The following is a 22035-nucleotide window of genomic DNA, read 5'->3' as shown; positions in this document are numbered from 1 at the left end:
GGCACTCCAGCCTGCCGGTAAAGTGTTTGCCGTTGGGTTTTCGTTTGGCTGGTTGTGTGTACACAGTGTATACAAGTTGAGTTGTACAGAAGCCCAAGAAAGAGCAAGAGACAAAGGGTAGTGGGAGCAGGGGGTGGGGCGGGGGCGAGAACGGGGAGGAGGGGAAAGGAGACCGATAAAAAATAGAACCACATCCAGACAACAATGGGGGATGGGCAGTGGGTGGGGGCCAGACACAGACAAATCGCCGTAGAAAAGGAGTGGGAGGGGCAGAGAGAGGGGACCCTTCTCCCCCCTCCACCTCCCCAAGCCCCTGCCCCAGGTATGTACAATAAATAAGATTAAAAATAATTAACAAGATGCGTTTTCCCCTCCCACCCGACGCCAAATGCCCTGCGGAGGGAATGGCCTTTAGCAAAGATCTTGGCCTGCAGGGGGGACTTGGGGGGAAGGGGTCCCCCAGCTCTCTGAAGCCACCCCACCCCCCCCAGCCATACATAGACTTTTCCTATACATTATGTACAAGGTGGAGGGGGCGGGGGCTGTGGCTGTGGAGGGGGGGTCGGGGCAAGGGGAGAGGGAAACCGTTACTAAATAGACATTTATACATATATATAAATAATTTCTCTGTACACCGAACAGTGGGAGGAATGGGGAGGGAGTGGAGGGGGCTTGGGAGAGGGGGGGAGTCGGACTTTGAACCCTGCCCTGGAGGGGGCAGCACAGACACACCCTGACCCATGACCCCCTTTCCCCGGCGATGGAGCCCAGGTGTTAGCTCCTGAGGACACGGTTCTGTCCCAATTCTCGGTTCATGGAGGAGGCGCCCCCCTCACAAGCTGGGGCGGGGTCACCCGCAGCGGCTGTGGGCCTGTGCTTGGGCCAGCAGGTCACTGAAGGAGTCAAAGAGCTGTTCCAGCCACGGCTGGTTCCGCATGCACTGCTGGACCACCTCCTCCTGGCCCAGGTCCTCGGCGCCGCCCTCGATGGCCAGGGTCTGCAGGGGTCAAACATGGCACTGGGGAGGGTGGCACACCGGCCTCTGGGGAGGGAAGGGGCTGGGGCATGGGGCCTGGGGTGTCAGATGTCAGTGTCCCAGGGAGACCAGGGCTGGGGGCTGCATTCTTAAGTCCAAGACAGAAGGACCTGAACTCTTGGGTCTGAGGCAGGATGGGGCTGGGCTTGGACCCTCAGATCCCAAGAGGAAGTCAGAAAGGTTGGAATCCCAGGGCGATGGGTGCTGTGGGTGGGGCTCACCTGGTCCCGGCAGCGCAGGAAGGTGTGGTATTTATAGTGGTGGAGCGAATGGTAGAGTGTATAGTATCCCGACTTTTCCAGCTCAACCTTGAACTCCTGGGTAGGAGTGGAGATGCCTCAGCCCCTCCAGCCCGGCACTTGGCAGCCCCTCTCCTCCCTTCCCACATACCGCCAGCACTCCCCACTCCCAGCCCCAGCCCCAGTGCCCACCTGGGCTCTGACCACGCTCCTCTTGAGCTTGCTGAGCGTCTTGCGGTTGTAGGGTTCCCCAGCAGGCCGCAGCCGCACAGCCCCCTCTTCCGGAGAGCCCTCCCCACTCTGCTCCACTTGCAGCTGTGGGAACGTGTGCAGAGCATCCTGCGGGAAGCCAATGGGTCAGCTGGATGCTGCCCTGGATCCATAAACCCCAAACCCAACAGCCAGGTCTCAGATCTGTGCCTCAGTTTCCCCCAGGCTGCAGATCAGGAGAGACAACTAGAGTCTCCTCAAAGGACAGAGGAGGCTGGGCCTGACCAGTGATGCTTCCACTGTGCCTTCTGGCCTGGCTCAGATTCTCAATGTCACCCAAAATTCTACCCCAGAATTCCCAGCCCCATCCTAACCATCTACCCCAGAATTCCCAGCCCCATCCTAACCATCTATCCCAGAATTCCCAGCCCCATCCTAACCATCTATCCCAGAATTCTCAGCCCCATCCTAACCACCTACCCCAGAATTCCCAGCCCCATCCTAACCACCTACCCCAAAATTTTCAGCACCATCCTAACCACCTACCCCAGAATTCTCAGCCCCATCCTAACTATCTATCCCAGAATTCTCAGCCCCATCCTAACCACCTATCCCAGAATTCTCAGCACCATCCTAACCACCTACCCCAGAATTCTCAGCACCATCCTAACCACCTACCCCAGAATTCTCAGCCCCATCCTAACCACCTATCCCTGAATGCTCGGCCCCATCCTAACCACCTACCCCAGAATTCTCAGTCTCATCCTAACCACCTATCCTATCCCAGAATTCTCAGCCCCATCGTAACCACCTACCCCAGAATTCTCGGTCCCATCCTAACCACCTACCCCAGAATTCTCGGTCCCATCCTAACCACCTACCCCAGAATTCTTGGCCCCATCCTAACCACCTACCTCAGAATTCTCAGTCCCATCCTAACCACCTACCCCAGAATTCTCGGTCTCATCCTAACCACCCACCCCAGAATTCCTGGCCCCATCCTAACCACCCACCCCAGAATTCCCAGCCCCATCCTAACCACCTACCCCAGAATTCCCAGCCCCATCCTAACCAGCTATCCCAGAATTCCCAGCCCCATCCTAACCACCTACCCCAGAATTCCCAGCCCCATCCTAACCAGCTATCCCAGAATTCCCAGCCCCATCCTAACCATCTACCCCAGAATTCTCGGCCCCATCCTAACCACCTACCCCAGAATTCTCGGCCCCATCCTAACCATCTATCCCAGAATTATTGGCCCCATCCTAACCATCTATCCCAGAATTCTCAGCCCTATCCTAACCATCCCATCTACCCCAGAATTCTTTTTTTTTTTTTTTTAAGACAAAGTCTCGCTCTGTCGCCCAGGCTGGAGTGCAGTGGCGCGACCTTGGCTCACTGCAAGCTCCGCCTCCCGGGTTCACACCATTATTCTGCCTCAGCCTCGCGAGTAGCTGGGACTACAGGCACCCACCACCACACCCGGCTAATTTTTTGTGTATTTTTAGTAGAGACGGGGTTTCACCATGTTAGCCAGGATGGGTTGTTATTGGTCTCCTGACCTCGTGATCCACCTCCCTTAGCCTCCTAGAGTGCTGGGATTACCAACATGAGCCTCCGCGCCCAGCCATCTATCCCAGAATTCTAACTCCCGACTAATAACACATACTTCTCAGACCTACTCTAATATCCTACACTGGGATTATCTACCCTAGTGTAACATCTCACCCACAATCCTCAGTGCCAGCCTAACAATCCATCTCAGAATTTGTAGACTAGATTCATATCCTCCAGAGTTTTTATAACCTAATGCTACCCAGAATTTTCCAACCCACCCAGCACTCTACCCACGAATTTTCAGAGTCAGCATAACATTCCAGCTTAGATTTCTCCACACCAGTCTAAGAATCCATTCCAGAATTCTCGGTCATCCCAACGTCCCACCCATCATTCTGAGAAAACTACTATCTCACTCAAAATTCTCAGTCATATTAATATCTCTCTCTCTCTCTCTTTCTCTCTCTCTCTCTCTCTCTCTCTCTCTATATATATATATATATATATGTTTTTGTTTTTTTTTTGAGACAGAGTCTCGCTCTGTCGCCCAGGCTGGAGTGCAGTGGCACGATCTCGCCTCACTGCAAGCTCCGCCTCCCGGGTTCACGCCTTTCTCCTGCCTCAGCCTCCTGAGTAGCTGGGACTACAGGCGCCCGCCACCACGCCCAGCTAATTTTTTTGTATTTTCAGTAGAGACGGGGTTTCACTGTGTTAGTCAGGATGGTCTCGATCTCCTGACCTCGTGATCCATCCGTCTTGGCCTCCCAAACTGCTGGGATTACAGGCGTGAGCCACCGCGCCTGGCCTGTTTTTTTTTTCTTTTTTGGAGACAGTCTTGCTCTGTCGCCCAGGCTGGAGTGCAGTGGTACCATCTTGGCTCACTGCAAGCTCCACCTCCTGGGTTCAACTGATTCTCCTGCCTCAGCCTCCAGGGAAGCTAAGACTACAGGTGCCCACCACCACGCCCAGCTAATTTTTTATTTTGAGTAGAGACGGGGTTTCACTTTTTTTTATTTTGAGAGAGCCAGGGTGGTCTCGAACTCTTGACCTCAGGCCATCTACCGGCCTTGGCTTCCCAAAGTGCTAGGATCACAGGCGTGAGCCACTGTGCCCGGCCTTCCTGCGTATTTTCTAAGACTAACTTCCCACCAGCCATCTCAGCACCAGCCTAATAGCCTATCCCAGAATTCTTAGTACCAGCCTAGAATCCATCCCAGAATTCTCAGAATCACTGCAAGTCTTCCAGAATTCTCAAAGCCAGAATAACATTCGATTCCAGAAGTCTCAGTTACCCTAACATTCTATCCCGGAATTCTCAGTGCCACACTAACATCCCAACCAGAATCCTCAGAGCCAGTTTAACACTGGATTTCAGAGCCCTGATATTCCATCCCAGAATATCCCAGAAGGGAAATCATACAGATGACTTAACACTGAAGCCTGGGATCCTAATAGCCTGCATTGGACTCACAAAGAAGCCATCGGTCCAGTGCCCGCTTTGGGTGCAGGCCTAGTCTATGTTTGGCTGCACACTTGTTCTCCGAAACAACAGCCCAGCCTTTCACAACCACCCCTCTGCTGCCCCAAGGCCCACAGCTCCTCCCCACATGGGCTTCATGGCTGTTGAGAACCCAGAGATCTCCTGACAGTCCTGCCCTCAACTTTTCTCCCATCTGAGCCCAGAAGGACGATCTCCTTCCAAGGATCACCCCCGCCAACAGCGGCCGACACGTACATGTCTTCTCCATGTGGACCCTGGGCCCCAGACACCCCCTGCCCAGACCCCCAGGCACCTGCAGGGCTGGGCTTAGCGACAGCCGCTTCAGGACTTTCTTCTTGTGCTCATTCAGCAGGCCGTCTATCTTCCGCATGGGGGGCAGGTACAGCTCGTCTGATGGACGAGGACATGGTATCAGGAAGGCCACAGCCTCACAAAGCACTGGGGCCAAGGTGGGGTCATGGAGTCTGGGTCCCCAAATCCCCTTCCCACTCAGAGACAAAAGTACAGGCCCCAGCCCCCTCCTCCTTCGGACCCAGGAGTCCAGGCCCCAGCTCCCTCCTCCCTCAGACCCAGGAGTCCAGACCCCCAGCCGCTCCTCCCTCAGACCCAGGAGTCCAGACCCCCAGCCGCTCCTCCCTCAGACCCAGGAGTCCAGACCCCCAGCCCCTCCTCTCTCTGACCCAAGAGTCCAGACCCCCAGCCCCTCCTCCCTCAGACCCAGGAGTCCAGGCCCCAGCCCCTCCTCCCTCAGACCCAGGAGTCCAGACCCCCAGGCCCTCGACCCCCAGCCCCTCCTCCCTCAGACCCAGGAGTCCAGGCCCCAGTCCCTCCTCCCTCAGACCCAGGAGTCCAGGCCCCAGCCCCTCCTCCCTCAGACCCAGGAGTCCAGACCCCAGCCCCTCCTCCCTCAGACCCAGGAGTCCAGGCCCCAGTCCCTCCTCCCTCAGACCCAGGAGTCCAGGCCCCAGTCCCTCCTTCCTCAGACCCGGGAGTCCAGTCCCTCCTTCCTCAGACCTGGGAGTCCAGGTCCAGCCTCTCCTCCCTCAGAACCAGGAGTCTAGGCCCCCAGCGCCTCCTCCCTCAAACCCAGGAGTCCAGGCCCCCAGCCCCTCCTCCCTCAGACCCAGGAGTCCAGGCCCCCAGCCCTTCCTCCCTCAGACCCAGGAGTCCAGGCCCCCAGCCTCTTCTCCCTCAGACCCAGGAGTCCAGGCCCCCAGCCTCTTCTCCCTAGGACCCAGGGACCTCCTCCCTCAGACCCAGGACTCCAGGCCCCAGCCCCTCCTCTCTCAGACCCAGGTCCAGGCCTCAGCTCCTCTTCCCTCAGACTCAGGAGTCCCGACCCCAAACCTCTCCTCTCTCACATCACGTCCAAGCCCTCAGCACCTGCTCCCTCAGACCGAGTCAGCCCCCCCCCCTCCTCCCCAGGCCTCAGCTCACCATGCGTGTCCTCCAGGGCCTGGATCATGTCTGGGTCAAGTGCTGTGCTCACCAACATCTCCACGTAGCTCCGGTACATCTCCCGCATCGCCCTGGTTTTGAGCAGACGCCCAGGTACTGCCCGCTCTGCAGAAAAGACAGGACGCAGGCTCGTTATCCCAATTTCCTCTGAGACCACCTGTGTGGCAGACACTGTTCTCAACACTGGGGACCGGAAGAGAAATCCCTGCTTTTGGGAGGTCCAAGTCCGCTAGGGAAGATTGACAGGCAAGCGCCAGTGCCACGTGCTCTTGTGGCAGAATCACAGGGACTGCAAGAAGCTCAGAGAAGGCCAGGCACAGTGGCTCACGCCTGTCATCCCAGCACTTTGGGAGGCCGAGGCAGATCACCTAAGGTCAGGAGTTTGATACCAGCCTGGCCAGCGTGGCAAAACCCTGTCTCTACTAAAAATACAAAAATTATCCAGGCGTGGTGGCACACGCCTGTAATCCCAGCTACTCGGAAGGCTGAGGTAGGACGGCTTGAACCCAGGAGGCGGAGGTTGCAGTGAGCCAAGATTGTGCCATTGCACAGCCTGGGTGACAGAGTGAAACTCGTCTCCAAAAAAAAAAAAAAAAAAAAAAAAAGCCAGGCATTGTAGCCCATAAAGTGCTGTGGCCTGCAATCCCAGCACTTTGGGAGGCCGAGGCAGGCAGATCACCTGAGGTCGGGAATTGGAGACCAGCCTGACCAACATGGAGAAACCCCGTCTCTACTAAGAAATACAAAATTAGCCGGGCATGGTGGTGCATGCCTGTAATCCCAGCCACTCGGGAGGCTGAGGCAGGAGAATCCCTTGAACCTGGGAGGCGGAGGTTGCGGTGAGCCGAGATCGCACAATTGTACCCCAGCCTGGACAACAAGAGCGAAACTCCGTCTCAAAAAAAAAAAAAAAAAAAAAAAGGGCTGGGCATGGTGGCTCACACCTGTAATCCCACCACTTTGGGAGGCCAAGGCAAGTGGATCACCTGAGGTCGGGAGTTCGAGACCAGCCTGACCAACATGGAGAAACCCTGTCTCTACTAAAAATACAAAATTAGCCGGGTGTGGTGGTGCGTGCCTGTAATCACAGCGACTCGGGAGGCTGAGGCAGGAGAATCGCTTGAACCCGGGAGGCAGAGGTTGCGGTGAGCTGAGATCGCACAACTGCACTGGCAATAAGCCTGGGCAACGAGAGCAAGACTGTCTCAAAAAAAAAAAAAAAAAAAAAAAAACTCACAGGAGGCATCAGACTCACCCTTGTTCAAGATCAAACAAAGGCTGAGCCTTGAGTGATAGCTCAGAGCACTTAATTGTGGCTTCACGTAAGTCTAAAGCAGCAGCATTGTTGGTTTCCAAAAGAGGGTATCCAGGGAGGTCAGATCATAAAGGGGCAAGGCTGAGGGACGAGATGGGAGCTGGCATTGCACAGGTCAGTGCAGGCCAGACCACACTGGGCCTCCAACACCAGGCAGAAAGGGCAAGGGCTTTTTCTGGTGGGTACTAGGGAGCCATGAGAGAGCTGAGAGCAGGGAAGGGGTGAGTGTAAGCGTAGAAAGATCCCTCCTAAGCCAAGCAGGGGACAGACTGGAGGAGTGAGGCTGAAGTCCAGGCTGATGGACCAGGTAGGAACGAATGAAGGTGGGGCAGGGCTGGAAGCAGAGGACGAGGCTGAGCTGGGCAGGCCTGGGAAAGGGTGGAGGGGATGGGGGCGGACAGGGCTGGGAGCTGCCCAGCTGTGGGGGCGACAGGTAGAAAAAGAAAAGAGGAAGGCCGGGTGCAGTGGCTCATGCCTGTGATCCCAGCACTTTGTGAGACTGAGGCGAGAGGATCGCCTGAGGTCAGGAGTTCGAGACCATCCTGGGCCAACATGGTGAAACCTCATCTCTACTAAAAATACACAAATTAGCCGGGCATGGTGGCACACATCTATAGTCCCAGCTACTTGGGAGGCTGAAGAAGGAGGATCACTTGAACCCAGGAGGTGGAGGTTTCAGTGAACTGAAATTACACCACTTTGCACTTCAACCTGGGTGACAGAGTGAGGCTCTGTCTCAAAAAAAAAAGAAAAGAAAAGGAAAAGAGGTGAGGATGGCTCCTGGGAAGTCTGGTCAGGTGACTGTGTAGCCAGAGGTCCGGTCCCTAAGATGGGGAAGCCAGGACACAGAGCTTGATGGGATTTGGGGGTGTTGGGGAAGGTCTGTGGGGTGGCCAGGGGCAGAAACAGGGCTTGGGCTCACTGGAAAGGGGTCATGACCCCAGCAACAAGGCAAACAGCCGGTCAACAAGAGAGAAGGAAACTGGGACCCTGGACAACCCTGAAAAAGAGCCATTCATTCATTCGTTCGTTCATTCATTTATTGAGACCGAGTTTCCCTCTGTTGCCCAGGCTGGAATGCAATGGCGCAATCTCAGCTCACTGCAACCTCTGCCTCCCAGGTTCAAGTGATTCTCCTGGCTCCGCCTCCCGAGTCGCTGTGATTATAGGCATGCACCACCACACCCGGCTAATTTTTTTATTTTTAGTAGAGACGGGGTTTCTCCATGTTGACCAGGCTGGTCTCGAGCTCCTGACCTAAGGTGATTTGCCCGCTTCGGCCTCTCAAAGTGCTGGGCATCAGCCACTGTGCCCGGCCGCTTTTATTTTCTATACATCTCCCTGCTATATCAGGGCTTTGATGGAAAGACAATTCCGCCTTCCTCATTTGACTCGCTAATTCTAATCTCTGTTAAAACAGCTACCCCTGTACTGTGTGGCCCTGACCAGGTACCATCACCTCTTGGTGCCTCAGTTTCTTCATCTTTTATTTATTTAAGAAGTTATCCTTAGAGACAGGGTCTAATTCTGTCACCCTGGCTGGAAAGCAGTGGTGTAATCATACCTCACCATAGCCTTGAACTCATGGGCTCAAGTGATCCTTCTGCCTCAGCCTCCTGAGTAGCTGGGACTACAGGCATTCACCACCAAGCCCAGCTAATTTTTAAAAATTTGTTCGTAGAGACGGGGTCTCACTATGTTGCCCAGGCTCATCTCGAACTCTTGAGCTCAAGTGAGTCTACCACCTCAGCCTCCCAAAGTGAAGGGATTACCGGTGCGAGCCACCACACCCAGCCCCCATCTTTAAAATGAGGATAATTCTACCAAGCTATCTCACGGGGTTTATTAGGTAAAGGTCAAGTAAGCCTGTGTGCAAATGTTTAAAATGATTTCTGGTACATAGTAAACACTCAACAAAAATCAGCTGTTACCCTTACTGTACATATGTGAATATATATTTATTTTTGTTGTTGTTATTGTCATCACTAACCAGACTTTTTTTTTTTTTTTTGAGACGGAGTCTTGTTCTGTCATCTAGGCTGGAGTGCAGTGGCCTGATCTCAGCTCACCGTAACCTCTGCCTCCCGGGTTCAAGTGATTCTCCTGCCTCAGCCTCGTTGAGTAGCTGGGATTACAGGCACACGCCACCATGCTGGGCTAATTTTTGTATTTTTTAGTAAAGCCGGGATTTCACCATGTTGGTCAGGCTGGTCTTGAACTCCTGACCTCAGCTGATCCGCCCACCTTGGCCTCCCAAAGTGTTGGGATTACAGGCGCGAGCCACTGTGCCCGGCCTAACCAGACATCATCATAAGCACTGAGGATGTGGCAGTGTGCTGGGCAGACATGGAGTAGACAGGTAGTGTCTACTAAAGATTGGCACTCTCCTATGAGCTTCGTCTATTATGAACCCATTTTACAGGTGAGGTCACTAAGGCACAAGAGGTTATGCCTCTTTCTCAGGGTCACCCAGGGCCTCACAGGAAACCCCACCATCACAGAGCCTCCAGGACAGCTGCCTAGTCCCACATCTTCCTCAGCCCTCAAATCTTGCCTATTATGAGGCAGAACGCAGCACTGAAGAACAGAGTCCGAGGCACCCTGGGCTCAGTTGCAACTCTGCTGGGCACCCAACACAGACTGTGCTGCCCTCTCTTGGAGCCTCAGCTTCCTCATCTGTAGATGAGGATAACAGTATCTACCTACTAGGATGGGTGAAAATTACACAAGTTAACATCCATCAGCTTCTCAGGAGGCAGCCTGTCGTGTAGTGAGATGCCCCGTGACTGTGAGCTACTGCCATTATCTGTAACATACTGGTTCTTACTGTCCTGCCAAGGCTACCTGGAGCCCTCTGGACAGCCCTCACCTGTGTCCCTTCCCCACCCACCCCTGCAGCCCTGAGGCTGCCTAGGGCCTCACCGTCCTCGCTGGGGGCTCCAGGGGAGGACTCCGAGTCCGAGGAGCTGCCTGGTGGGCCCCCGCCTGCTGTAGCGTTGCCGCCTGCCTCCTTCAGCCATTTCTTCCTCTTCTTAGGGGGCGGTTCAGCCTTCACCTTGGTAGGCCGGGCTTTGGGCAGCCGGGATGTGGCAGGTTGTCCCGTGGCGAGACTCCGCTCTGGCCGTGTCTGCCGTCCGCTGGTGGCCCGCTCACCCCGCAATGGCCGCTCTCCACGTGTCACCTTCTCCTTCTCCTTTTCCTTCTCAACAGGCCGCAGGAGGGAGGGCTTCTCGGGGGCAGGGGGCTCAGGCATGGCCGTCTCAGGAGTCTGCTCTGGGGGCTTCTCAGATGTCGTCTTTTCAGGGGTCTCAGGCTTGGGAGGTGGTGCTGGGGCCTTAGGGGGAGGTGCAGAGCTACCCCCAGCAGATACGGGGTTCTTGGCCTGCCCAGAGCGTCTAGAAGGGAACAGAGAAGGGACTGTAGTCAGCAGCCCCCAATAATCCAAATTCTCCTCAGGGTCCCTGCTCAGTGCCCTAGGCACAGGAATAGCTTCTCTCATACTGTCCCCTCCTCTCTCTGGTCTCTGTTCCCCTCCCTCTCTGGGACTCTGACCCCCTCCCTCTCTGGGACTCTGACCCCCTCCCTCTCTGGGACTCTGACCCCCTCCCTCTCTGGGTCTCTGACCCCCTCCCTCTCTGGGTCTCTGACCCCCTCCCTCTCTGGGTCTCTATTCCCCTCCCTCTCTGGGTCTCTATCCCCCTCTTTCTGGGTCTCTGTCCACCCCAGGTCTCTGTAGCCTTCTGTGAGTCTCTGTCCCCTCCCGTCTCTGGGTCTCTGTCTCCCTGTCTCTGGATCTTTGTCCTCCCCCATCTCTGTCCCTCTTTTTCTCTGGGTCTCTGTCTCCTTCTGAGTCTCCGTCTCCCTCATGCGTCTGGTTCTCTGTTCTCCCATCTCTGGGTCTCTGTCCCCCCACCTCTGGGTCTCTGTTCCCCTCCTGTCTCTGGGTCTCTATCCCCCCTTCTCTGGGTCTCTGTCCCTATTTCTCTCCGGGTCTCTGTCCCCCTCTCTCTCTGGGCTCTGTCTCCTCTCTCTGTCCCCACCCCCCACTCTCCAGCCTTCTCTCTTGCATGCCGCATCCCCATGCCTGTCGGCGCTACATACTACCTGCCCCTGTGTCCCCCATGGTTGGTACCTGACTGGCACTGGGGGCCGATGCCAGGGTTTCCGAGCACAGACCCTCACGTAGTCCTTCTTATTGACATTTTCCAGGAACTTTACATAGAGGCGCTGGTACCGATTTTTTGCATCCCCAAAATACCCCAAATACTATGGGGAGAAAGAGGCACATGAGGAAATTCTTCACACTGCCCAGCCAGATGGCCAACACCCCCGTGCCCTGGGCCACCATGGCAGCTGCTTGGAGCCTGCCGGCAGCAGGGGGCCCCCTTCCAGATACACTGTGGAGTGAGTCACAGCCACACTAAGGGGAACCCCAGCTCCTAGATACCACGCCCCGGGGCCCCCAAGTCCTTGGTCCCCTTTGCAGGCTTACATTACTGGTGGCACAAAACTGCCTCTGGCCGTCCTTGATCTCCGGAGTGAATTTCTGCAGAAGGGCCTTCTGGACTCGCCAGATGGGTGGGGGTTCACGCCCCGTCTGCAACGCCAGCTGAGGAGGAGGGGTGTGGTGAGGCCAGCAGGGTCAGCCCTCATTCCTAGACCTACTGCCCCTACGCCCTGGCCCACTGGCTTCCCTCACCATCCCCTTAGAGAAAAGGCAGACACGTCAACAACAAATATCTTCTACCCCCATGATGTGTTCAGCTCTGTGTACAGCTTGAACTTGACCCTGTCGCCTCCTGCCCACCCAGTACCCTGGATTGGGCTGCTCGTTCTCAGGCTGTAGAGTTTGAGTCACTATTGCTTTACGGGGTGAAAGCCCAAAACTTCCTGTGTGACTCAGAGTAATGACAATCTTTGAACACCGCCTGCTATTTACTGTGCTGGACAGGAGAGTACGGTTGTGAGCAAGACGTCCTGTTGTGGTCTGACTGTCCCCCCACATAATTCTCTTTTTACTTTTTCTTTTTTTGAGACGGAGTTTTGCTCTTGTTGCCCAGGTTGGAGTGCAGTGGCGCAATCTCAGCTCACTGCGACCTCCGCCTCCCGGGTTCAAGCCGATTCTTCTGCCTCAGCCTCCTGAGACACTGGAATTACAGGCATGCGCCACCACACCCGACTAATTTTGTATTTTTAGTAGAGACGGGGTTTCTCCATGTTGGTCGGGCTGGTCTTGAACTCCCGACCTCAGGTGATCCACCCGGCTCGGCCTCCCAAAGTGCTAGGATTAGAGGCGTGATCCACCAAGCCCAGCCAAATCTCTGTTGCTTATAAGCCACCCAGTCTATGGTATTCTGGTATAGCAACCTGAGGAGTCTAAGACACTGAAAAAGCCTTCTCAGGTAATAACAGAGGTAATGAGACAGACAAGCAAATAAACAAAACAGGGTGAGTTTGTGGCCTGTGCCAAGAACAGGCAGGTGAGGTTACCTGAGACCATTTCACCAGCATGTCCACAGCAGGGAAGACAGAGCAACAGGAAGGCTCCCTATCTCTGCTCCCCCTGCCCCACAAACACCTGAACACCAACCACCACCACCCTGCAGTTTGTGTGTGCCCCAGCTGGGCGATGGCAACTGATGGACGTGAGTCACACTGAGCATGTGACCTTGAGGACTAAAAGGGCAGCAGAGGCGCGAAATATGGACACAAGAAATAATAGTACAAGTCATAAATGTCCTAATGCCAATTCCCTGGACACTACAGAAGCCTAGAGGAGGGGCCTCAGATTTTTTTTTTTTTTTTTTTTTTGAGATGGAGCCTCAGTCAGCCAGGCTAGAGTGCAGGGGCGCAATCTCGGCTCACTGCAACCTGCGCCTCCTGGGTTCAAATGACTCTCCTGCCTCAGCCTCCTTAGTAGCTGGGATTATAGGCACCTACGATACCAGGCTAATTTTTGTATTTTTAGTAGAGAAGGGGTTTTTGCCATGTTGGCCGGGCTGGTCTTGAACTCCTGACCTCAGGTGATCCACCTGCCTCGGCCTCCCAAAGTGCTGGGATTATAGGCATGAGCCACCGCGCTTGTCCTCAAATTTAAACTGAATCCAAGAATGCTTCCTGGAATAGGTGACGGATGCCAAAAAGAGTCCCTGGAAGGAACATGTCTTTAAAAGGGGGGCCAGGCTGAGTGCAGTGGCTCACACCTTTAATCCCAACATTTTGGGAGGCCGAGGTGGGATCACTTGAGGTCGGGAGTTTGAGACCAGCCCAGCCTACATGGTGAAACCCCACCTCTACTAAAATACAAAAATTAGCCAGGTGTGGTAGTGCGTGCCTGTACTCCCAGCTACTTGGGAGGCTAAGGAAGGAGAATCACTTGAACCCGGGAGGTGGAGGTTGCAGTGAGCTGAGATCACAGCACTGCACTCTGGCCTGGGCAACAGAGCAAGACCCTGTCTCAAAAAGAAAAAGCAGCAGCTTGAGGAAGCCATTGGAGCATCTTGTCAGCCCAAGGAGACCACCCCTACCTCTGCCCCCTCCCACTCCCGGTGTTGGTGACCTCTCAGGAAGCTGTTGACACTGTAGCTGGGATCAGACCCTCTGGCTAGCACATTCTCACTGGGCTTGGTACCTTCCATCAAACCACTTTTCCTCCCAGCATCCCCACCCCACACCCAGTCATCAGGCCTCACCCTGACTTCAGCCTTGCCCGTTCCCCAAACAGGGCCAGTCAATCCCCAAGCCCCACCCATCCTGCCTCTCATCATGTCACTCATATCACTGACCATGCCAACTGCCGATTACTAGAAAAGTGGCCTGGCCCACAGCCTCCTACTCAATGGTTCCATACCCACAGCTGATTGGAGACTTGACCTGGGGAGCTCACTAGCAAGCTTTTTTTTTTTTTTTTTTTGAGACAGAGTCTTGCTCTGTCGCCAGGCTGGAGTGCAGTGGCGCAATCTCGGCTCACTGCAACCTCCATCTCCTGAGTTCAAGTGATTTCCTGCCTCAGCCTCCCGAATAGCTGGGACTAGAGGCACATGCCACCACGCTCAGCTAATTTTTGTATTTTTAGTGGAGACGGGGTTTCACCATGTTGGCCAGGATGGTCTCGATCTCTTGACCTCATGATCCGCCCGCCTGGGCCTCCCAAAGTGCTGGGATTACAGGGGTGAGCCACTGTGCCCGGCCTGTTTTTTTTTTTTTTTTTTTTTTTTTTGAGACGGAGTCTCGCTCTGTCGCCCAGGCTGGAGTGCAGTGGCGCGACCTCGGCTCACTGCAAGCTCCGCCTCCCGGGTTCACGCCATTCTCCTGCCTCAGCCTCCCGAGTAGCCGGGACCACAGGCGCCCGCCACCACGCCCGGCTATTTTTTTGTATTTTTAGTAGAGGCGGGGTTTCACCGCGTTAGCCAGGATGGTCTCGATCTCCTGACCTCATGATCCGCCCGCCTCTGCCTCCCAAAGTGCTGGGATTACAGGCGTGAGCCACCGCGCCCGGCCTTTTTTTTTTTTTAGATAGAGTTTCGCCTAGGGTGGAGTACAGTGACGTGATTTCAGCTCACTGAAATCTCTGCCTCCTGGGTTCAAGTGATTGTCCTGCCTCAGCCTCCCAAGTAGCTGGGATTACAGGCACCTGCCACTAGGGCCAGCTAATCTTTTGTAGTTTTAGTAGAGGCAGGGTTTTACCAGGTTGGCAAGGCTGGTCTCAAACCGCTGACCTCAGGTGATCCACCTGCCTCGGCCTCCCAAAGTGCTGAGATTACAAGCGTGAGCCACTGTGCCTGGCCTTTTTTGTTTTGTTCTTTGTTTTTGTGAGACCCTCTCAGTCCGTTACCCAGGCTGGAGTGCAGTGGCACAACCATGACCATAGCTTACCTATGGCCTCCTAGGCTCAAGTGATCCTCCTGCCTCAGCCACCTACCCACCAAGTAGCTGGGACTACAGGTATGCGCCACCACTCCTGGATAATTTTTGTATTTTTTGTGGCAATGGGGTTTCATGGCCAGGCGCAGTGGCTCATGCCTGTAATCCCAACGCTTTGGAAGGCCGAGGCAGATGGATCACCTGAGGTCAGTAGTTCAAGACCAGCTTGGCCAACATGGTGAAACCCCGTCTCTACAAAAATACAAAAATTAGCCGGGCATGATGGTGCATGCCTGTAGTCCCAGCTACTCGGGAGGCTGAGGGGACAATCACTTGAACCTGGGAGGCAGAGGTTGCAGCGAGCCAAGATTGTGCCACTGCACTCCAGCCTGGGAGACAGAGTGAAACTCCGTCTCAAAAAACAAAACAAAAAAAAGGCCGGGCGCAGTGGCTCACATCTGTAATCCCAGCACTTTGGGAGGCCAAGGCGGGCGGATCACGAGGTCAGGAGATCGAGATCATCCTGGCTAACATGGTGAAACCCCGTCTCTACTAAAAATACACAAAAAATTAGACGGACGTGGTGGCGGGCGCCTGTGGTCCTAGCTACTTGAGAGGCTGAGGCAGGAGAATGGCGTGAACCCAGAGGCGGAGCTTGTAGTGAGCTGAGATCGCGCCACAGCACTCCAGCTTGGGCAACAGAGCGAGACTCCATCTCAAAAAAAAAAAAAATAGGAACAGGGTTTTACCATGGCATGCCCAACTCCCAGGTTCGTGCAAACCTCCCACCTCAGGCCGCAATGTGTTGGGATTACAGGCGTGGGCCACTGCACTCAGCCACTGACCTCATCTTGGCCCTATAGGCTGAGCAGAACCAATCAGATTTTCTTCTGAGAAACTGAACTGCGACAAGCTAAGACATGTGGTGTAAGCAGTGCGGATGTAAGCCACTGAGCTACAGACACTCAGACTCGATATTAATGAGAAAACTGCAGGGTCCCAGGCTGGGTGCGGGGTGGCTCGCATCTGTAATCCCAGCACTTTGGGAGGCCGAGGCAGGCGGATCACCTGAGGTCGGGAGTTCGAGACCAGCCTGGCCGACATGGTGAAACCTTGTCTCTACTAAAAATACAAAAATTAGCCAGGTGTGGTGGCAGGCGCCTGTAATCCCAGCTACTCGGGAGGCTGAGGCAGGAGAATCGCTTGAACCTGGGAGGCAGAAGTTGCAGTGAGCCGAGATCGCGCCATCGCACTCCAGTCTGGGGGACAAGAGCGAGACTTCGTCTCAAAAAAAAAAAAGAAAGAAAAAGAAAACTGCAGGGTCCCATTGACAGGGGAGTCCGTCCCAGGACAGAGGCTGTGGACAGAGTACTATCCAGGCTTGAACAACTCCCCAGTCACTTCCCTACTGGCCAGGGGCTCTAAACGGCACAGAGCCTAATGTCTTCATCAGCACCCATGGAACTCACCCCTGCACCCAAGTCCAACATGGCTGGGCCCAGCCCACCAGCCCAGCCTCAGCATTCACTGTCCAGCCATTCAACACCTTGCATCCCTGTACACCTCAAACACAGCGTGCTTTCCCTCACCACAGGGCCTTTGCACAGCTGTTTCCTCTGCCTGGACAACCCCAACACCATACTCTTCTCCATCCAACAAATTTTTTTTTTTTTTTTTTTTGAGACAGTCTCACTCTGTGGCCCAGGCTGGAGTGCAGCAGCATGATCTCGGCTCACTGAAACCTCCGCCTCCTGAATTCAAGTGATTCTCCTACCTCAGCCTCCTGAGTAGCTGGGATTACAGGGACCCGCCACCATGTCCGGCTAATTTTTGTATTCTTAGTAGAGACGGGATTGCACCATGTTGTCCAGGCTGATCTTAACCTCCTGACTTCAAGTGATCCACCCACCTTGACCTCCGAAAGTGCTGGGATTACAGATGCGAACCACCATGCCCAGACAACTTTTTCTTTTTTGAGACGGTCTCACTCCGGTTGCCCAGGTGGGAGTGCAATCGAGCAATCTTGGCTCACTGCAGCCTTGACCTCTCAAACTCCGGTGATCAGCCTCTAGGGTAGCTGGGAATATAGGCATGTGCCACCACACCTGGCTAATTTTTTGTATTTTTAGTACAGACAGGATTTCGCCATGTTGACTAGGCTGGTGTTGAACTCCTGAGCGCAAGCGATTCACCCACCTCAGCCTCCCAAAGTGCTGGGATTCCAGGCAGGAGCCACTGTGCCCAGTCTCCACCCAGTGAACTCTTACATGCTTGGAGTATACACGCTGCCCAGCCCTTATGACAACCCCAACAACAGTCCCAGTTGACAGACGGGGGAAGGAGAATGGGCTAGCCTGGCCCTGTCAATTCAGCAGCTCGTTCCCACAAGTGGTTCTTGAGCTTTTGAGATTGATTTGTTTTTTTTGTTTTTTTTTTTGAGACAGGGTCACATTCACTGTCACCCAGGCTGGAGTGCAGTGGTGTAATCATGGCTCACTACAACATCAACTTCCTGGGCTCAGGTGATTCTCCCACGTCAGCCTCTCCAGTAGCCGGGACTACAGGTGGGCACCACCATGTCTGGTTAAGTTTTTTTGAATTTTGTGTAGAGGCCGGGCGCGGTGGCTCACACCTGTAATCCCAGTACTTTGGGAGGCTAAGTCGGGCGGATCACGAGGTCAAGAGATCGAGACCACCCTGGCCAACATGGTGAAACCCCGTCTCTACTAAAAATACAGAAATTAGCTGGGTGTGGTGGCACTTGCCTGTAGTCTGCGCTACTCGGGAGGCTGAGGCAGGAGTCCCAGCTACTCGGGAGGCTAAGGAGAAGAATCGCTTGAACCCGGGAGGTGGAGGTGCAGTGAGCAGAGATCGCGTCATTGCACTCCAGCCTGGTGACAGAGCGAGACTCCATCTCAAAAAATAAAAAATTTTAAAAAAAAAGAATTTTGTGTAGAGACAGGGTCTCACTATGTTGCCCAGGCTGGTCTCAAACTCCTGGGCTCAAGTGATCTGCCGGCCTCAGCCTCCCGAAGTGCTGGGATTGCAGGTTTGAGCCACCATGACTGGGGTGACATGTCGGCTAGAGCACTTCAAATGTGGCTGGTCCAATGGATGTGTTCAACGAGTACAAAGTATTCACAGGATTTTGAAGTCTTGGTATGCAAAAAAGAATGTAAAACCTCTTAACTTTTCATTTTAGTAATACCCCATTTAATAATATTAAAACATCATTAACAGTTTTTCTTTTACTTTTTTTGAGCCTCAGTTTCACGCTTGTTGCCCAGGCTTGAGTGCAATGGCGTCATTTCGGCTCACTGCAACCTCCGCCTCCAAGGTTCAAGTGATTCTCCTGTCTCAGCCTCCTGAGTAGCTGGGATTACAGGTGCCCACCCCCACGCCCGGCTAATTTTTATATTTCTAGTAGAGATGGTGTTTCACTATGTTGACCAGGCTGGTCTTGAACTCCGGACCTCAGGTGACTCACCTGCTTTAGCCTCCCAAAGTGCTGCGATTACAGGCGTGAGCCACCACGCTTGGCCAACAGCTTTTCTTTTTTTTTTTTCTTTTTGAGACAGGGTCTCGCTCTGTCACCCAGATTGGAGTGCAGTGCTACGATCTCGGCTCACTGCAACCTCCACCTCCCAGGCTGAAGCGATTCTCCCACCTGAGCCTCTCAGGTAGCTGGGACAACAAGCACATGCCACTATATCCGGCTAATTTTTCTTATTTTTTTGTAGGGGGGGCGTTTTGCCATGTTGCCCAAGCTGGTCTTGAACTCCTGACCTCAAGCAATCCACCCACCTTGGACTCCCAAAGTGCTGAGATTACAGGCATGATCCACCACGCCTGGCAAAAACATCATTAATAGTTTTTATTAATTACAAGCTGAAACTCTGTGTGTGTGTGTGTGTGTGCACACGTACATGACAGAGGCTCACTCTGCTGCCCAGGCTGGAGTGCAGTGGTGCAATCATAGCTCACTGTAGCCTCGACATCCGGGCTCAAGTGATCCTCCCACCTCAACATCCCAAACTGCTGGGATTACAGGTGTGAGCCACCGCATGTAGCCGAAATAATACTTTCAATATGTTAGGTTAAATAAAATGCATTCCTATGGCTAATTTCTTTCTTTCTTTTTTTTTTCCTTAAAGGCGGGGGCTCACAATGTTGCCCAGCCTGGTCTGCAACTCCTGGGCTCAAACAATCCTGCCTCGTCCTCCCAAAGTGCTGAGATTACAGCACTTTGGCCACCTATGGCTAATTTCACCTATCTTTTTTATCTTTATAAACCAGGAATGAAAACATTTAAAATCACATATATGGCTCAGGTGATATTTATATTGGATTGCTGTTTTTCTGGAATAAACAATGGTCTATGGCTTGTTTTTGTAGGGGCTTTAAGAGTGGTTTCTACCAGCCTGACCAACATGGTGAAACCCCATCTCTACTAAAAATACAAAAATTAGCCAGGCATGGTGGCAGGTGCCTGTAATCCCAGCTACTCAGGAGGGTGAGGCAGGAGAATCACTTGAACCCAGGAGGTGGAGGTTGCAGTGAGCTGAGATTGTGCCACCGCACTCCAGCCTGGGAGACAAAGCGAGACTCCATCTCAAAAAAAAAAAAAAAAAAAGAGAGATGGTATAAAAGAAAAAAATGGGCTGGGCACAGTGGCTCATGCCTGTAATCCCAGCACTTTGGGAGGCCAAGGTTGGGGGGCGGGGGAGGCGGCGCAAATCACGAGGTCAGGAGTTCGAGACCAGCCTGACCAACACAGTGAAACTCCTAAAAATACAAAAATTAGCCTGACGTGGTGGCACGCGCCTGTAATCCCAGCTACTCAGGAGGCTGAGGCAGAAGAATCGCTTGAATGTGGGAGGCGAGGGTTGCAGTGAGCCAAGATTGCGCCACTGCACTCCACCCTGGGAGACAGACTGAGACTCTGTCTCAAAAAAAAAAAAAAGAAGAAAAAAAAGTCCAGACACAGTGGCTCACACCGGCAATCTCAGCACTTTGGGAGGCTGAGACGGGAGGACTGCTTGAGCCCAAGAGTTCAAGACCAGCCAGGACAACAGAGTGAGACCCCAGTCTCTACTTAAGGAATAAAAAAATTTGCCAGGCATGGTGTTGTATGCTTGTAGTCCTAGTTACTTGGGAGGCTGAGGTGGGAGGATCGCTTGAGCCCAGGAGTTTGAGGCCTCAGTGAGCCATGATCATGCCACTGTACACCAGCCTGGGTGATAAGAGTGAGGCCCTGTCTCAAAAACACACACAAAAAAAATAATAATAAGTGGCAGAGATTTGAGTCAGTCAGGTTAAACCAAAGCTGGGCTCTTAACTATGCCAGCAGCCTGCCCCATCTCTAGGCCCACAAATGAGTCCCCAAGGTCTGTACATTTGGCAAAGGCGTGGGGCTTTGCCCCCATTATAATGCACACTCAAGTTGTATTTTAAGCATCTGAGTCCTCGCCTGGCCCCCTCCCCTGCCCCGTGCCAGCTGGGAGGTGGTGTCAGGTGGCCCTGGCTCCAATCCCAGGTTGGCACTGGCCAGGCGACTGACTCCCTTTCTCTGAACGTGAACTTCCCCATCTGTAAAATGGGGATGGTCAAAGTCCCTGCCCCAGGGCCCTGTTCATTTGACCCAATGCTGGCTCAGCTGCGTTTGACTAGAACGTACACGGTGCATGGCTGAGTCGGGGATAAGAATATGGGTTCCTGGCTGGGCGCAGTGGCTCATGCCTATAATCCCAGCACTTTGGGAGGCTGAGGCAGGCAGATCACCTGAGGTCAGGAGTTCGAGAGCAGCCTGGCCAACATGGAGAAATCCCATCTCTACTAAAAATACAAAATTAGCCAGGCATGGTGGCACATGCCTGTAATCCCAGCTACTCGGGAGGCTGAGGCAGGAGAATCGCTTGAACCCGGGAGGTGGAGGTTGCGGTGAGCCGAGATCGCACCATTGTACTCCAGCCTGGGCAACAAGAGCGAAACACTATCTCAAACAAACAAAAAAAAGAATACGGATTCCTAGGGCCAGCAGGGCTGGGTGTGGATCCCAAGCTACAAAAGCCTGGGAAGGCTACTTTATCTCTCTGTGCCTTGGTTTCTTTCTCTATGAAATGAGAATAGGCCAGGCACAGTGGCTCATTCCTGTAATCCCAGCACTTTGGGAGGCCGAGGCGGGTGGATCACCCGAGGTCAGGAGTTTGAGACCAGCCTGGCCAACATGGTGAAACCCCATCTCTACTAAAAATACAAAATTTAGCCAACCATGGTGGGATCCTCTGTAGTCCCAGCTACTCGAGAGGCTGAGTTATGAGAATTGCTTGAACCAGGGAGGTAGAAGTTGCAGTGAGCTGAGATCACGTCACTGCATTCCAGCCTGGACAACAAGGGAGACCCTGTCTCAGAAAAAACGGGCATAGAAATCCCCAATCAGAAGGACTTTTTAACCTGTGTGAGCCTCAGTTTCCATCCCTGTAAAACGCTACTAGTAGTCTCTATAATCAAGTTTATTTTATATAAAAAGATAAAACTTGGAGATGGATGGTGGTGACGGTCATTTAACAATGTCAATATTCTTTTTTTCTTTATTTTTTTGAGACAGAGTTTTGTTCTTTTGGCCCAGGCTGGAGTGCAGTGGCGTGATGTTGGCTCTCTGCAACTTCCGCCTCCCAGGTTCAAGCAATTCTCCTGCCTCAACCTCCTGAGTAGCTGGGACTACAGGCGCCTGCCACCATGCCCGGCTAATTGTTGTATTTTTAGTAGAGATGGGCTTTCATCATGTTGGCCAGGCTGGTCTTGAACTCTTGACCTCAGGTGATCTGCCCGTCTTGGCCTCCCAAAGTGCTGCAAT

General features: G+C 53.6%; 1 protein-coding gene across 1 annotated transcript in view; it reads right to left on the bottom strand.

Moving 5' to 3' along the window:
• The window catches only part of PRR12 (proline rich 12), a 35258-nt gene continuing 13241 nt past the window's right edge, over positions 19-22035 (bottom strand). Inside the window, exons 7-14 of the mRNA NM_020719.3 lie at positions 11809-11925; positions 11449-11582; positions 10239-10711; positions 5981-6106; positions 4836-4933; positions 1468-1614; positions 1258-1353; positions 19-997 (exon numbers count right to left, since the gene is read on the bottom strand). Of these exons, the coding sequence (NP_065770.1) occupies positions 851-997; positions 1258-1353; positions 1468-1614; positions 4836-4933; positions 5981-6106; positions 10239-10711; positions 11449-11582; positions 11809-11925 (1338 nt within the window). The 3' untranslated portion in view covers positions 19-850. The remainder of the gene's footprint in view (positions 998-1257; positions 1354-1467; positions 1615-4835; positions 4934-5980; positions 6107-10238; positions 10712-11448; positions 11583-11808; positions 11926-22035) is intronic.

This window comes from Homo sapiens, chromosome 19 (genome assembly GCF_000001405.40).
Source record: "Homo sapiens chromosome 19, GRCh38.p14 Primary Assembly".
In the NCBI taxonomy this organism is placed as follows: domain Eukaryota; kingdom Metazoa; phylum Chordata; class Mammalia; order Primates; family Hominidae; genus Homo; species Homo sapiens.
The sequence above is the reverse complement of the archived record's forward strand: the minus strand, read 5'-3'. Positions and strand labels throughout refer to the sequence as shown.